Genomic DNA, 16,680 nt, shown 5'->3' with positions numbered 1-16,680 from the left:
ACTCTGAAAGCCTCAGCCCCCTCCTGTGTGGTAGGAATGGCAAATACGCCCATTTTATAGGGGAGATGAAGGAAGTGAGACCCAGTGCTGAGAAAGGGCATATGATTCATGTTTCAGCAAGCAATGAGTCAGAGGAGGAGACGTCGACCCAGGCTTCCTGATGCTGAAGCTAGAGCTCCATTCACACGGCTGGGCGTATTGCCTCTGTTACTTCCAAATGCTTGATATCTTGTTTAAAAAGTCAACAAACACTCACCCCAACAGGCTGACTTTTGAGTAAGTTTTTTATTATGATGAAAAAGCACAAGAGACCTTATCTTTTCTGACCTCTGAACAGAACCTAGAATGTTAACTACATAGTTTATAATAAAGAAGCTTCAAGCTTTCCAAGTTGTGATCCTCTCCTAAGGCAACTGTGTAAATAGAGGCAATTCTGAAAACTTGGACTGTCAAAGAAATTGGGCAAGTCTGGCTGGGCGCAGTGGCTCATGCCTATAATCCCAGCACTTTGGGAGGTTGAGGCAGGCAGATCACCTGAGGTCAGGAGTTCGAGACCAGCCTGGCCAACATGGTGAAACCCCATCTCTACTAAAAATACAAAAATTAGCCAAGCATGGTGGTGGGCACCTGTACCAGCTACTCGGGAGGCTGAGGCAGGGGAATCACTTGAACCCAGGAGGCAGAGGTTGCAGTGAGCCGAGGTCATGCCACTGCACTCCAGCCTGGGTGACAGAGCAAGACTCTATCTCAAAAACAAAAACAAACAAACAAACAAACAAAAAAAGAAATTGGGCAAGGCCAAAAGTCCAGTTGAGGCTGGAAATGATATATCGCACCAGCTGTGTTCTGACCTTCTCTAGTGTCTGATACCTATTTCCAATATCCAGTGGCTGTTCTACTGTTTAGGGGCTGAGAAGAAGGGGTAGGATTGTGGTAAGTGATTTCTCTTGTTGGGTCAGAGCATTTTGAAATCCTGGAAAGGCTTGTCAAAAAGAAAGTGGTCATAGGTCATTCTGCAGTCCTTGAGAGAAGAGGAACAAATGGTAGCCTGCCTCCAGAAAAGGAGTGAAAAGGGTAGGGCTGAGAGCCCCAGTGACCTGGGTATAAAAGATCCTTTAAATGCCCTTTAAGGTACTTTGCCACATTTACTGAGCCCCTGCTAATGTACCATGTACTTGGATAGAGACCCTCAGTAAGGTGACTGTATAATTTATCATCCAAACCCAAAAACTTCAAGGTGAAGGAGGGACCTATTAATAACTAATTATACCAAGACAGAGTCATAAACTGAGATGGCAAATCAGGATGTATTATGATGTACCTTATGATGTACCTTAGCCATAAGGTACATTTTATATTATACCAAGACAAAGTCATAAACTGAGATGGCAAACCAGGATGTATTTATGATGTATTATGATATACCTTAGCCATCAGTATTGAGATCAACAGCAGAGTTTGTATCCACAGAGAAATCTCTATGGCATAAGAGGGATCTAGCAAGCACAAAAATGGCATAACCCAAGGCTGGCTGGGTGTACTGAGACTGAAAGAGAAAGAAGTGACATCTAAATAGAGGAGATGGCATTGAAGCTGGGTTTTGAGGGATGTGAAAGATTTGAATGTGTGGCAGAGATAGGCCAAATAGAGGCCATCAAATTCTGATGAGTTTAAAAAATTTTTTAAGACATCTCAGCCAAGGCCCAAGTGGCAGGAAAGCAGGAGGCGTCCATGGAGCACCGCGACCAGCCAGAACCCATCTGATGTGGCTGCCATGGAAGGAGTGGTAAGACCAACGAGAGATGAGGCAGGAAGGGTGCTGATGCCAGGCTGGGCTTGGTTCTAATTTCCTAGAGAGCACCAGGAGCGAGCTTTCCTCCTCTTATCAGCATGGCTGCACAAATCTCCATTCTCCTCATCCTGGACTTTTGTTGAGACTGCTCAGACCCACATCTCGTGGGCTGCTGCTAGTCTTACCAGGCTGACTGTCTTCCCTCCAACAAGGAAGGGAGTCTCATTTGAGGAACTGCACAACCTCTTCTGGTTTCTGTACCGGTCACTTTCTCTCTCTAGCCACTGGAGAAGTGGGTTGGAGCATTAGGGGGAAGTGTCTGTTTGGCAACCTCACAGGGCTAGAAAACTTGAAGAGGGTGGATTTTAGGGGCTATCCCCTTGAAAACATTCAAACGTTTGAATCTTTCTGGTGAGACCACTTGTATTCCTATTTTCCAGGAGTACACACAAGGCCAGAGGCACTTTGGACCTCAGGGCTTTCAGAGGGGTGAAAGACAAGGCGGTCAGGGAAAGACTTTCTCATTTGGCCTCACTGTTTTGTGATGTATGTCAGGAAGGTGTTATTGTGGTGAACAATGGAGAAGAAGGGAATTTAAAAGCAGAGAAATGAGTGACTCACCCAAGGTCACATAGCAAGTAACAGAGCTGCAAGCGGCTTGAATGCAAATCCCCTGGACCCAGGCCATGTATTCATGAACCTACCTCAAAGCCTGCTCTCAGAAAGAAGTGGAAGAGGGAGAGGAGGAAGACAAGAAAGAAGAAAGAGGAGGGGGAGGAAAAAGAGGGAGAGAAGCAGAGGAGGGGAGAGACAGCAGAGCCCTTCACTGTAGGTGAAGGACCTGGAACCTTCTCCTTTCACCCCTACTCACCCCCACTCCCTTAACTCCTCCTGGACCCAAGAAAATGTGTCCAAGGCTGTGCGGTAGGGAACGGCTGCTGGGTAACTTCTTTGCTGAGGCGCAAGCATGGCCCTGCGGGGTTGCTGAGCCTTTCAAAGGTCACTTGTAAACTCTGATGTGGCGCAGGGGCTGGCCCGGAGGGGCTGGGGCCTGGGCCAGGACGAGAGGACGGGCCTGCCTTTGGTGCCTAGAAATCAAAGCAGTCAACCTTGGGCTTTTTCTTCCCCCTCACACTGAGGCACTTTTATTGGCGAGATGAAGGGAGGCAGAGCGGGCCTTACAGTCCTCGCTTTGCTTTTGGAGGTTAATGACCCAGTTAGCAGCTCTTGGCTGCGTTTCCGACATTTTGCAGACATCAAGCCCCGCGTCTCTGCCAAGTACATTCTGTTCCCTGGAGCACATCCAGTGCATCTCAGATTACTATGTAATGCGACAAAGAGGGAGAGGTGGCTGGGAGGGGCATCGGGGAGCGGGGCGGGGAGGGGAGAGGGCGGGACGCAGGAGCGTGCGGGGAGGAGAGGAGGATGCCACTCTAAATATAGCTGCCCTCCTGGAATGCATCTTTCAAGGTGCTTATTTACTGCACAAGAGTGATCCCAGAGTGAGGGTACGATTGGGCCCTGTCGTCCAGGAATCCTGGAGCGCCGAGAGCGAAGCCCAGAACCAGGGCGAGGACAGACAGTGGGGGTGGGGAGGAGGCTGCAGGAGGCTCCTGGCTGGGAAGGGCTGGGAAGGTGGAATTCGAAGGGGGCGGGGCTAGGAGGTGGTGGCCCCGCCCACAAGGCCGCCGCCCCGCTTTGCAGCTCGAGCCTGAGCTGCAGCCTGCGCGCTAATTATAGACGTGAATGGAAAGCGGCCGCTTCTGAATGATCGCGTTGCTCGAGCTGCCGTTGGAAGCTTAGAAGCAGGTGCTACCGTGCTAGATACAAAGCGATCTATTTAAAAGCCCTCTGTCACGCACGCACACTTACTGACGAATCCTCTGGCTCTCTCCTACCACCGCCCGGTGGCGGATTCCGGAATTGGTTCAAAAGGCCTTGATCCCGAACACCCAGGACAGAGACAGAGTACTTTTCCTACCTCTTTCGCCTGCATCCTTAGAAAACTCCCGTGGATGAGAAGATCCCCAGGCCTTTACAAGCTGTTGTTTTACAAAAGGAGAAACTGAGGCAGGAAGAGGCGGTGGATGTGCACCAGAGCACGTGGTGCGTCGGTGCAATAGCTGAGGTAAACTTCTGGTCTCCTGACAGCCTCTCCATTTGCCTTACCGGGTTGGAACCTGAAGCAAGTCTCACTTTAACGCCGTTAATTTCCAGGCATGGATCTTTAGCCAATGATGAGCATCCTCCTCCTTTCCTGGTTCAGCGCCTGCTCCCTCCAGTCCCCACCCCCACCCCACTCCCACACGGAAAACTTGCTAATGCTGGCTGATTCTCATTGCTGGGTTTACTAGTTCAGGCCTGGAAACTGGGTAACCTCAATAACTATGACCATTTCAGTATGTGTGAGTCAATCTAATGTGCCCTCCCTCAGCATAATCCTGTCACGAGGAACGACGCAGGGGGCAAAACCTAGACTTTTCTTTCCCATCAGCATCTTGGCTGCACCTAGTGCTCACAGCCAAGTGTGTTAATGCACATGATGGCCTAATCCAGTCCATACGAGCACAGTGAAAATTCTTATGCCCATTTTATGGAATCCCTGTAGAAATGGAGTCTTGGAGGGAGGAAGTGACTTGCTCACAGTCATCTGCTGATGAGTGGTCGACTTGAGAGCCAAAACCAAGTTCTCTACCCTCGATGTGGGCTATGTCCAGTATTCATGCTTTGGCCTGCAAGGGGGAGCAGCAATCCACTTAGTAATAAAGAGGGATAAACCTACGTTCCCTCAGACACCTGGAGTGTCCTGAGGATCTCCACTCTGACCATTGGCCTTTTCTGCCTGTGGGTCTGGGGCCACTCCCACGCTAATCCACAGTATTAAACTGGGCATGGAGAGCTGCTGTCTTCTCTAGAAACCGAAATCTCCAAGTCCAGTAACTACATTCAGCTTCCAATAACAAGGCCAATCCTACTTACCACCTGGACCCATCTATGTCTCCCCACCTTTGCTGACTGCTTTGGACTTAACTCTGCCTGTGTCTCTCTTGGCTATTCCTGTAACCTCAAGATCTCCACCAGGGCAGATGGATAAAGAGGCAGCATCCAGTAACATGCTGAAAAAAGAAGGGAGAGGGAATAGGTGTGGATGATAGAATATTTTAGTTGTTTTTTATTTACCTCTTGGAAGCAAAGACTGTATCTTAGTCTTTGTAAGTCCTCCTTCTTCCCAACATATACAAGGTCCAGCCAGCCCAATGCACCGAGCATAGCAGACAACCAGAAATGTTAAAGAGTCATAAAACTTTCACATGGCTGTGGAAAATTGTATATACCTAGGTTGGTCACAGTCATGTTTCTCTGATAACAAAGATAGGTAGTTTTACAATACTGACAAATTATTTAAGCTTTCTAAGTCTCAGTTTTCTCATCTGTAAAATGGGCATAATTGTACCTCAAAGAAGCAGTACTGGCAGTGCTGAGCCAGGAAAAAAGCAAAATGTTCGCATGTGAATGGTTGTATCTACAATCAGGCTACTTAATTTGGAATCTGAATTCAGCTATGAGTCTAGCACTATGACTAGTGTCAGCACTCAGTAGTTCTTCTCACACAGGGTTGTTCTAGGAATTAAGCTGGATAACATATATGAGCACTCTGTACAGTGATATAAGATTGCTCACATACTTTATTATTAATAAATAAAGTTGCCCAGGGTTACACAGCTAACATACAGTAGAACTGGGATTTAAATCCAGATATGCTCCTGTCTCTGTCCTAGGTCTCCAGTCTCAAGTGCATAATAGTCATCATTACTGAGCACTTATTCAATAATATGGTTTTGCATTAACTGTGTCTGCTTCTATTTGAGATGCAGAAATAATAGACATGCCTTTAGGTTGGAGATAAGTAGGTAAGGGCCTAGGACAGATACACAAGTAACTGTGTAATACCAGTCAGTGGATGATGAGCGCTCTGATTAGCACAATAAACCAAATGCCATGAGCACCAGGGAAGAACAAGCAGATACTCCCCAAGGTGGGGAGAAGGGTTCAGGATGGCTGCAGTGAGGGTAAAGGAGCATGAACAGATCCTGGAAGAATTGGTAGCATTTGGACAAGTGGAGGTAGAGGTGAGGGAAGTTCCTGATAAAGGGATCAGCAAGAGCAAAGACCCAAAAGCAGGAAAAGAAAGGGAGGATTTAGAGAACAGCAAGCTTGCCAGCATTCAGAGAACATAGTGCCGGCGGAGAATGAGCAGGGGCAGAATGAGAAAGCACACTGGGAGCTAAGCAAGGAGACCAGGTGTCCCAGGGAGCCAGGGCAAGCTCAGCAGGGCCAGGTGAGTCTCTCTGATGACATGGAGGGCAGATGTGCTACAGTCTCAGGATGATAATGAGTGGAGAAATTTTGCTCTGGGGCCAGTTATGAGGCAGCAGAAGCTAGGGTAGCTTCATAGCTCCTTTGTAGCACCTCCTAGATGTTGTATTTGTGTATTTACTTGTGTTTCATCTTTTACGTTGGCCTATAAACTCCATGAGAGATGGGAACAGGAGCCTTTCCTTTCTTACTTGTCCCAGGGCTTACCACAGTGACATCCATAGTAGGAGCTCGATAAAGACTTGATGAGCAAGTGAATGCTTCTTTGACCCCAAGGCCAAGAGGACCACCACAGTGATCCAAACGTGGACAAAGGTTTCTCCAAGAAGGTTGTTCCTACCTTTAACTTCAGTAAACAGGTAGCCCAGGGTGGTGTAGAAGAGTTTAAAATTCACTGAGCAGGAATGCAGGACTTCTTTAATGATCCCTCAAATATATGTGCTGCAGTTTTAGAAAATGAAATCAGAAAGAACTGGGGAGAAAAGAAAGAAAAAAAATGAAACCTTGAGCTGAAATAAAACCCTTCCTGTGACTCTCTATCTCTTAGTTATCTTAATTACCCATCTTCTGGTTTTAGTCTTCCCTCTCTAAAAAAAAACAAAAGAAGGATGAAAGGGAAGAGAGAGAGAGAAGCAAAGAAACTTGCCCGAGAGAGCTATGAGTTTAGGCAACTGATTTTGTTGTCTTCTAAAGCCTTCTATGGCCTGGCTCCCTTCCCAGCTCAAGTTGGGAAACAGAAAAGAAATCCAATTGGTTTCCATTGTTAAGGGTTTGGGACAAACTGCTGATAGAAGCTGTGCCAACTGTCCTATCCTGGCCTTCTTTAAAATATGAATGTCATTGCCTTTTGTCATTCCACTTGGAAAGGCAATTTAGTGCTATGTTTTTTGAACAAGGGGACAGGATTCCAGGGCTGGAACAAACAGAACCTAGAGGTTACCTAATTCCACTCCTTCATGTTATAAAAGAGAAAACTGAGGAAAAAGAGAGAGGAAATGACTTGTTGATGGCTGCCCATCACATAAGTGATGGAGAATGGCAGAAAGGGATGAAGCCTTCTCATTTTAATGTTAGTGCTCTTTCCATACATGATGACAACTTCTTTAAGAGAGAACTCATATTTCTCTGAAAAGAGGGTAGTTTTAGAGAAGCAGATCTGGATTTAAATCCCAGTTCTACTGTACATTAGCTGTGTAAGCTTGGGCAAGAACCCAGATCTTCTGCAATAACAATAGTCATCATTACTGAGCATTTATTTTGTGCCAGGCTTAGGACAGCTAAGAAACTGGCCCAAGGCTGTGTAAGTTGCAAGTAGTAGAGCCAGTTTGAACCCAAGTCTGCCTTATTCTAAATCTCATAATATTTTCATAGTAGCACATTTCTTCTGTATGCCTCAGCTTTCTCATCTGTGAAGTAGTTATTTTTAAGAAGGAATAAGATATAAAGTGCCTAGCACAGACTTGATATACAGTAGGTGCTCCATAAAAATCAGCTACTATTATGTTGAAGGAAACCTTTTGAATGTATTGTGTTACACCTTAGATCTTACCATTTTGATTATATTACTCAAGAATGTTGCCTATTATCAATCATCATCCTCACACTCATCAATCTCCACCAGCACTGTCTCAGCTTTCCCCGGATGTGTCCTCTCTCGGGGTTACGTTCCAAACATGGAAGATCTAAACAGACAGGTAGGGCAGGATGGGCACTGAACCTCCTCGTTGGTGCTGGAATGCTGAGGCAGACAGGTCAGGTCTGACAAGAGCAGCTATGGCCACTCACAGATCCAGGTGCAGGAGCCAGGTGGGTTGAACTAACTAGGGGCCAGATTACAGGGATTTGGGGTGAGTAATGCCTAAGGTGAGCAGACCACAGCCTCTGAAAGGCCAATTCATAGGAGGAGGGTTCAAGCTACCATTTCTGGCAAAATAAAGACAAGACGTTAGCTAGGAGGAAATAAAACTGGGTAAGTAGATCACCAGAGAAAGAACATAAAAACCAGGATTAAAGCAAAATCCATTTGGAAGGAATTGAGATTATAAGGGATCTAGGACCTCTAAAGATGACAGATGAGTCTTCCTTCCTCTGACTATAAAAAATAATAAATATCATGAAATAGTCTCGGTCATAAATTGCTGTGGATACATTTGTTTGGAGTGAAAGTATAAAAACATTCATGAGAATGATATCCACTAAATTCAGGAGAGTAGATTCCTCTGTTGAGGTTGAGAGTGAAAGAAGGAGGGAGGAAAAAGGAAATGGAAGGTGGAATCTTTTACTTTGCGTGTTACGTTTAATTTATTTTAAGAAAAAAAGAGATCTGAAGTAAATATGGCAAAATGTTAGGATCTGTGAATTCTGGTGGTGAGTACATGGCATCTGTTATGTCTTTTCTGTATGGTTACATATTTAATAATTTAAAATAAAAATATAAAGTCATAAATATATTTAAAATCTAATAAATTTCATTAACACTAATATGTGGCCTCATTGTAGAAAATCTAGGGACTTTATGAATAATAACACAGAAAGATAATGAGTTTTAAATGTTCTGATGTTGGCTAGCTGACCTGATATTTCCTAGATACAACAACAGGCCGTATTCCAAGGGGAATTTATGTAGGATCTTTGTAGTAAGTTAGCATACTGACAGCCCATATATGTGCATTAAGAGAAGAATTTCTGGATTCTTCAAATCACACCATCTGCCCAATCATTCAAAAAATCCGCACTGCTGCCCTCTAACCTGGTTACCCAGAAAGTCCCATTTTAAAATAAGATTCAGGATCTTGTACTCTTATATAAAAAGAAACCCTAAAAATGCTTTTGAACAATCAAAGCTAATGTTACAAAGTCTATAAATTAAAATTTGTTGATGGAAACCCAGCAAGGATATGTAACTAAACAACCACTGAATCTAATTGACCTTTGTAGAACACTCTGCCCAATAACAACAGAATACTCATTCCTTTCCAGGGCACATGGAACATTCACCAAGATAAACCATATGCTGGAACATAAAATTTATGGATGTCACCCATGAAGCAGAGTCCTTCAGACCCTCAATCAAAAACAAGTCTCATTTTACATTAAATTGGAGGACTATCTGGAGTCTCTGACCACCGTGTGACAGAAAAGAGAGCAGAATTGTTGCATGATGGGTAACACTCATCAGTAATCGCTGTTTGCCAAGCCATCTGGGAGGAGACCAAAGAGCTATAAAATAAGTTCAGGCACGGTGGCTCATGCCTGTAATCCCAGCACTTTGGGAGGCCGAGGTGGGTGAATCACCTGAGGTCAGGAGTTCGAGACCAGCCTGGCCAACATGGTGAAACCCTGTCTCTACTAAAAATACAAAAAAAATAGCTGGGTGTGGTGGTGGGTACCTGTAATCCCAGCTTCTCAGGAGGCTGAGGCAGGAGAACTGCTTGAACCTGGGAGGCAGAAGTTGCAGTGTGCCGAGATTGTGCCACTACTCTCCAACCTAGGCAACAGAGCGAATCTACATCTCAAAAAAAAAATAAATAAAAATAAAAAATATATACATAGGTACCAGAGCTGAGAACGTAGCAGCCTGGGACCATGTCATTCAGGAGCAAATAACAAGCCCAGAAAATGCCTGGGAGAAGTCTTGTACCAGTCCACTTCATGGTTTAGTAGGAACATCATGGACTCAGCTGACAATGATTTGGGCATGGCCCTGCCACTAACCCACGAGAAGCTGTAGACCAGTCCCTTTCATTTCCCCTTTCTGGGGACCCGCTTCCCCTTGTGCAAAATGGAGTCACTAGAATCTAGTGTCTTGATCTCCAAGATGATTTCCACTTTTACCTTTCTGTGTCTATTTTTGTGTTCCTTCTAATTCCCCTGGGTCTTCAAGGAAAGGATGAATAATTCTTGGTAGTCTTTGTGTTAGAAGGCAGGGGGTGGTCTGAGACCTGCACAGGGCATATTTGCTTATATGGATTGGCTTATATCGCCTCCCAAATCCTGGATATGCTCAGACATATCCCAAAAGGTTCTACAAGGACATATTTACAAACAGCTTCCAAACAGCAGTAAAATGGCAAAACAAGCCTTGCAAGAGAAATTCTGTATACCAGACAATTTAATTCTGAACAATGGACCACATGAGGGTGTATAAATAACTAATTATGCTGGACAACATGAACAGCTTTTTTGGATGATTGCAAAATTGGGGAGGAAGGAAATGTGATGGGTATTTATATATTTGGGCTTCAGTCAAAGATTTCATATTCATTCTTAAGCAATTTGACTTACAAAATTAGCTCAGACTAGAACATGGTCAAACGACTTGAAACTGGAAGAAAGTCTGCTATCCCAGGGGGATGGTTTGTGCCCAAGAATCCAAGGGAATGGAATGGAGTACTGTGTGTGTGCTCCTGCAGCCTCTGCAGGCTGCTCAGTGAGAGGTTTCTTGGTCTTCAGAAGGACCTGCAGAAAAGGAGTAGGGACTGTTTTGGAGCATTTGTAATAAGTGTTCCAATATGAATCCACTTCATCTTGTTATCACACAAGCACACGCTCCTGAACACGCAGGTCCACATTTTTCCTAGGTTCCTCCTATTCCATCAGTACTATGCCAAGCCTTGAAGTGACGGAGACTGGATTTCTGGGAGGTGCATGGGGACACTTGGCTCACCTCTAAATCCAGTGCCTGCTACTACTTCTAGTGCCTACATACCAGGTACACAGAAATACTTGTTGAACCAACTAGTTTTTTAATGAAATAAGTAGCAGACTGTCCTTGTGAAAACAGAATCCTTTGTGAACACAGAGGGGACAGAACAGTTCATTCTGACCTTAGGGATTGCAAGGCCCTTTCCTTCTTGCCGCAGGGCCTTCAAACATCTATTTGCCCCTTCTTGCCCTCTGCCTAAATCCTATTCATCTTTATATTGCTTCCAGAGAACCTTCCCTAACTCCAAACCCCTCCTCCTTGTCCTTGCATCATTCTATTTCATGACATCATGTCCTTTCTCTTCAAAATACATAGCACAACTTACTATTAATATCTATTTGTGTGTTTGTTTGTTGGGAATCTACTCCTACAATAGACTATGAGCAATAATGTCTTTCTTATCCATGGCTATCTCGCCAGTACCTACTATGGTGCCTGATGCCTAGGAGTGCATAGTAAATATTTGTAAGTTGTTTATTGAATAAATGCATATTATTTACAAAGGAAGTAGAATTTGAGCAGGACCTTGAAAAAGATTTTGACAGAGATATGCAAGAAGAGAATTCGAGGAGGATGGAACAACCTAATCAGAAAAAAAAGAACAGGAAAAGTACACATAGGAGTAATTTGAATGGCCATGAGAATGTCAGTGTTTGCCAGAAATGACATGCTAAGAAACAGCAGTGGGAATCACCCTGATTTTTGCAGAAGATAAATAAAACTACCAGAGCTGAGCCTTAGACAAGTGGCTCAAGAAGTTCCATGAATAATCGATGGTTAAAAAGAGAGACTGGAGAGAAGGATATTATTAGGAGGCTGCTAAAGTGACGCATGCAAAAACCGATGGGGGATCAGACAGAGCAGCTGTGGTGGGAATCGAAAGATCAAAGACTGCAGAATGATTGAATAGAATGCGTGCAGGAGAAAAGAGAAGGAGAAATTAGCAATAATCCTCAAGTTTCTACCTGGGAGGGTGGGTGAAGCAGGTGGAGCTGTGAGCAGAGATTGCAAACACAGCAAAAGTCAGAAGACTTTGGGCTGGAAGTAAGAGAGCTTTATATAGACATCTGGTGTTGGAAGTGTTGAAGAGCCACCAGCGAGAGCTATCTGGTAGAAAAAAGAGAGATCTGAACTTAGATGTGGGTTTAAGTAACACCTGCCCAGAGTGGGCAGCTGGAGTTGGTGAGCCAACTCAGAGTCCCAAGAATGCCTTAGGACCCACCTTCTTTACTTTTTCTGTACAGTAACTGAGCTTGAGCCTCAAATAGTGGTCCCCGAAGAAGGCTTCTAGAATCCGCCAGGCTGCTAGGATCTATACTGGCTTCCTTTGTTGGACATTTGGTAGAAGTGAGAGACAGGACTAGCCGGATTTCCTAGGCCAACTAAGAATCCCTAACCCTAGCTGGGAAGGTGACCGTGTCCACCTTTAAGCATGGGGCTTGCAACTTAGCTCACACCCAACCAATCAGATAGTAAAGAGAGCTCACTAAAATGCTAATTAGGCAAAAACAGGAGGTAAAGAAATAGCCAATGATCTATCGCCTGAGAGCACAGCAGAAGAGACAATGATCAGGATATAAACACAGGCATTCGAGCCGGCAATGGCAACCCCTTCAGGTCCCCTCCCTTTGTATGGGAGCTCTGTTTTCACTCTATTAAATCTTGCAACTGCACTCTTCTGGTCCCTGTTTGTTACGGCTGGAGCTGAGCTTTCGCTCGCCGCCCACTGATGCTGGCCGCCGTCACAGACCCACCGCTGACTTCCATCCCCCTGGATCCCGCAGGGTGTCCGCTGTGCTCCTGATCCAGCAAGGCGCCCACTGCTGCTCCTGATCGGGCTAAAGGCTTGTCATTGTTCCTGCACAGCTAAGTGTCCGGGTTCGTCCTAATCGAGCTGAACACTAGTCACTGGGTTCCATGGTTCTCTTCCGTGACCCACGGCTCCTAATAGAGCTATAACACTCACCGCATGGCCCAAGATTCCATTCTTTGGAATCCGTGAGGCCGAGAACCCCACGTCAGAGAATACGAGGCTTGCCACCATCTTGGAAGCAGCCCGCCACCATCTTGGAAGCAGCCCGCCACCATCTTGGAAGCAGCCCACCACCATCTTGGGAGCTCTGGGAGCAAAGACCCCTGGTAACAGAAGCATGTTCCACATATCGTTGAGTTGTTGTCAAGATGTAGATGTTGTTCTTGCATACTGGAAAATCACCTCCTACTTCGAATATCTTCTTGATTCTCTCTCCTGCTGTGCCCTTCTAACCAGCACATGAAGCCTAAGTTCCCTTTCTCTTGACTCTCTCCTACCCCACACTGCAAGTAATCAAATCGGAGTTCTCCCTGACCATGATGAAGTTTGTGTCCCCATTAAGGAAATAATAAACATGGGGAAAATATCCCACATAGAGCTAGAAAAGAATTCTCCTAAAAGTAGAAACTTTAGCTTTGACTGATAGAAAAGGTATACCCCTGAATGTTTCCAAACTTAAGTCACAAGGAAGCCCAGCCAAGTACCAGACTGGTGTGAAATAATTTCCCCAGGTGAAGAGTACCACACTATTAGTCGACCGTGCAATTGAAGAAGAGAACGTTGCTTTTCACCAGTCATCTAGGGTCTGGAATGGGAAGGCACGAGGCCAGTGTGATGTAGACATACTCAGCTCTCAAAGAATTTTTCCTTGAAAGAGAAAAACAAAGGCAGGATGAGAACTCAATCAGCTGCTTCCTTCGGGAGACTGGGTGTAGCAGGACGGGCCCCTCACAAATATGCCAAGAATGAAGCTTTTAAATTACCACCACCAAGAATACTGGGTCAGAAGTTCCTAGAATTACTTCCTACTTGGATCAAAGAAGCATAGAGGTACAACAAGGTCTGACATCAGATGTGAAGTGATTTTGAACCCTGACCCACACTCCGATCCCCTTGGAGAACATAACTACTCCTGGAGGTGGAAGCGGATCCTGCCTTAATGGATAAAAACTGAGACAAGTCTTTTGTTCTTTTTAATACCCCAAAGGGTTGAGCTTAAGCCTTTCTGTAGGAGCAAAGACATCACCGTAAGGCAAACAGTGCTAGTACAGAACCATAAAACCCTTCTCAGCATCTAAAGGATACCCATTATGTTCATCTCAAAGTCAGAGTTATTTACTTTGCCTTTTACGTTGACATTCTTTTCTCTACTATGATAGTTAGCAAAATTGAATGAGAAAAGGCCCAAGTTCAAAATCCGCTCTGCTGCTTACAGGCCTTCTTGGTTTCAATAGTCAAACCCAGTGATGATTCTTGCCTGAGCAATCTCAGGTTGTTATGAGGAGTAGAGAATATGTAAATATGGGAAAGGGCTTTGTGACTATTCAGCTCTCCACATGTAAGCGGTTGTAATCATTCACTGACTAAACCTATCAGGTGGATTTTCTTCAACCTCAGTTGCTGCTTCATTCTCCCTTAGGGTCATGAAGTATCAGCAAGAGGCTGTTACTAGTTTTCTTGGGCTGCCTCCTGTCTGTCTCAGTCTGTATCTACAATGGAACCGACAATGAATCATATCTGTGGAGCACCAGGCAACTCAGCACTCCAGTCTGTTAAAGTGTCTTGCACTGCTTATATTACAGCAAATAAAACAGGAAAGGAAAATATATTTATTCCCATCATTAATAATCCATCATGCCTAGTCAAATTGGTCATAGTAAACTGGAACAATCACTCTTGCCTACAACAGTCTCAATATAAGGGAGTTCATTGTGCTAGCTGGGAACTTGGGACCAGATCATCCTGGATCTCAGTGGGCCACTTTCTGGCTGAGTGACCCCACAAAGGTCACTTAATTCCTCATAATTTCCTTATAGATATAATCTTGGTTAATAATAACAACCTATGTAAAGAGTGAGCATATTAAGTTAAATGAGGAAATAATGATAAAAGTGTTACATAGTAAGTCCGCAAGCACATTTGGGTTCCCTTCTTCCTTGCAGGTGAAGGGAAAATAAATAATAATAATGATAGCTGGCTGGGCAAGGTAGCTCACACTTGTAATCCCAGTACTTGGAGAGGCTAAGGAGGGAGGATTGCTTGAGCACAGGAATTTGAGACTAGCCTGGGCAATATGGCAAAACCCTAGCTCTACAAAAATGCAAAAATTAGCTGAGTACGGCAGCATGCACCTGTAGTCCTAGCTACTCAGGAGGCTGCAGTGGGAGAATAGCTTAAGTCTGGGAAGTTGAGGCTGCAGTGAGCTGTGATTGTGCACTGCACTCCAGCCTGGGTGACAGAGCAAGACCCTGTCTCAAAAAAAAAAAAAAAAAGTAAATAATGATAGGTAATACTTACATAGCATCTATGATACAGCAGGCACTGTTCTGAGAGTTCTACTTATTAATATATTAGCTCACCTAGTCTTTGCAACTCTGAGATAGAATGCTGTTTTCATCTAACCTTTACAGGTGGGTAAGCTAAAGCTCAGTGAGATTATATACTTACCTGGGGTCACATAGCTCACAGGGACAGAACCAGGATTTAACTCAGGTGCTCTGACACTACAGTGCTGTGCTAACCTACCATGCTACAACGCTGCCCATGATTATGGATATTAATCCACAGGCTTCTTTCAACTTTATATTCTGAGAGCTGAAACATAGGCTTTTTACCCCTAATTAATATGGCATGTCTTCCTAGACAATATATATTCTAATTACATTTTTAATATCTGTCATTTGTAATGATTCAGCTTCTGATAAGCTTGTTAACTGAATGTCATTTTTTTCTCCACCTAAACTACCTTTGGAAAGTTCACACACATCATGCAGTTATTTATGATTTGAGGAAGAGCATCATATATGTAAACTAAAAAATGTTTATTAAAGTTAGAATTAATAATGATTGATTTGATTTCACTGATGAGTTAATTGGGGAAATGAACAGGTAATTGGGTATTTACAAAAGAAGGTCAAGAATGGTTTGTGGGAGTAGTCAGTCAGATCCATTTCCTAAGCTTTTGCTCAGCCTTTCCTTCCTAAAACCCAGCCTGCTGGGGAGCAGGAAAAGAAAGCAAGGCACCGTACATTTGCTTACGACTGACACACTTTTCTCACAAAAGCTGTGCTCTGATCTGATCTACTCTGACACCTCCAAAGGCACTTTTGTCTACAGAATAAAACCAAACCTCATCTGTTTCTCAAGGGTCCTCCGCACTCGTCTGGCTCCAGACCGCTTGTTCATGACTGTCTTCCAATAAGCTTCAGACCCTTGCCATTCCCCCAAAAAGATTTTTCCCCCCAAAATCTCTAAGCTCTCCATTGCTCCAACAGGCCCTTCCCTCTCTAATTCTGCCAAAGTTCTAGTAAGTTTTCAAGACTGTTTCTGGGGTGTCCAATCTTTTGGCTTCCTTGGGCCACATTAGAGGAAGAATTGTCTTGGGCCACACATAAAGTACATTAACACTAACAGTAGCTGATGAGCTTGAAAAAAAAATCACCGGCTGGGTGTGGGGGCTCACGCCTGTAATTCCAGCACTTCGGGAGGCTGAGGCAGGTGGATCGCCTGAGGTCAGAGTTCGAGACCAGCCTGGCCAACATGGTGAAACCCCGTCTCTACTAAAAATACAAAAATTAGCTGGGCGTGGTGGCAGGTGCCTGTAATCCCAGCTACTTGGGAGGCTAAGGCAGGAGAATCGCTTGAACTCAGGAGGCAGAGGTTGCAGTGAGCTGAGATCATGCCATTGTACTCCAGCCTGGCGCAACAAGAGCGAGACTTTGTCTTAAAAAAAAAAATCACCAAAAAATCTCATAATGTGTTAAGAAAGTTTAT

The 16,680-nt window shown here is 44.5% G+C and overlaps 1 long non-coding RNA gene across 1 annotated transcript, besides 2 other annotated features; it reads left to right on the top strand.

The window, feature by feature from the left end:
• The first annotated feature begins 3,559 nt into the window (after positions 1-3,559).
• TPRG1-AS1 (TPRG1 antisense RNA 1) lies at positions 3,560-9,484 on the top strand. Its single transcript, NR_046873.1, has 2 exons — positions 3,560-3,920; positions 9,149-9,484. It is a non-coding gene; the product is annotated as a TPRG1 antisense RNA 1 (long non-coding RNA).
• Positions 12,700-13,201: an enhancer, noted in NCBI's record as "H3K4me1 hESC enhancer chr3:188655787-188656288 (GRCh37/hg19 assembly coordinates)". NCBI's record gives its function as "activates a minimal SCP1, AML or CMV promoter by ChIP-STARR-seq in primed H9 embryonic stem cells {active_cell/tissue: H9 hESC(primed)}" and the evidence as "EXISTENCE:reporter gene assay evidence [ECO:0000049][PMID:30033119]".
• Positions 13,321-13,822: an enhancer, noted in NCBI's record as "NANOG hESC enhancer chr3:188655166-188655667 (GRCh37/hg19 assembly coordinates)". NCBI's record gives its function as "activates a minimal SCP1, AML or CMV promoter by ChIP-STARR-seq in naive H9 embryonic stem cells {active_cell/tissue: H9 hESC(naive)}" and the evidence as "EXISTENCE:reporter gene assay evidence [ECO:0000049][PMID:30033119]".

The sequence above is a fragment of the Homo sapiens genome, chromosome 3 (genome assembly GCF_000001405.40).
Source record: "Homo sapiens chromosome 3, GRCh38.p14 Primary Assembly".
NCBI lineage: Eukaryota > Metazoa > Chordata > Mammalia > Primates > Hominidae > Homo > Homo sapiens.
The sequence above is the reverse complement of the archived record's forward strand: the minus strand, read 5'-3'. Positions and strand labels throughout refer to the sequence as shown.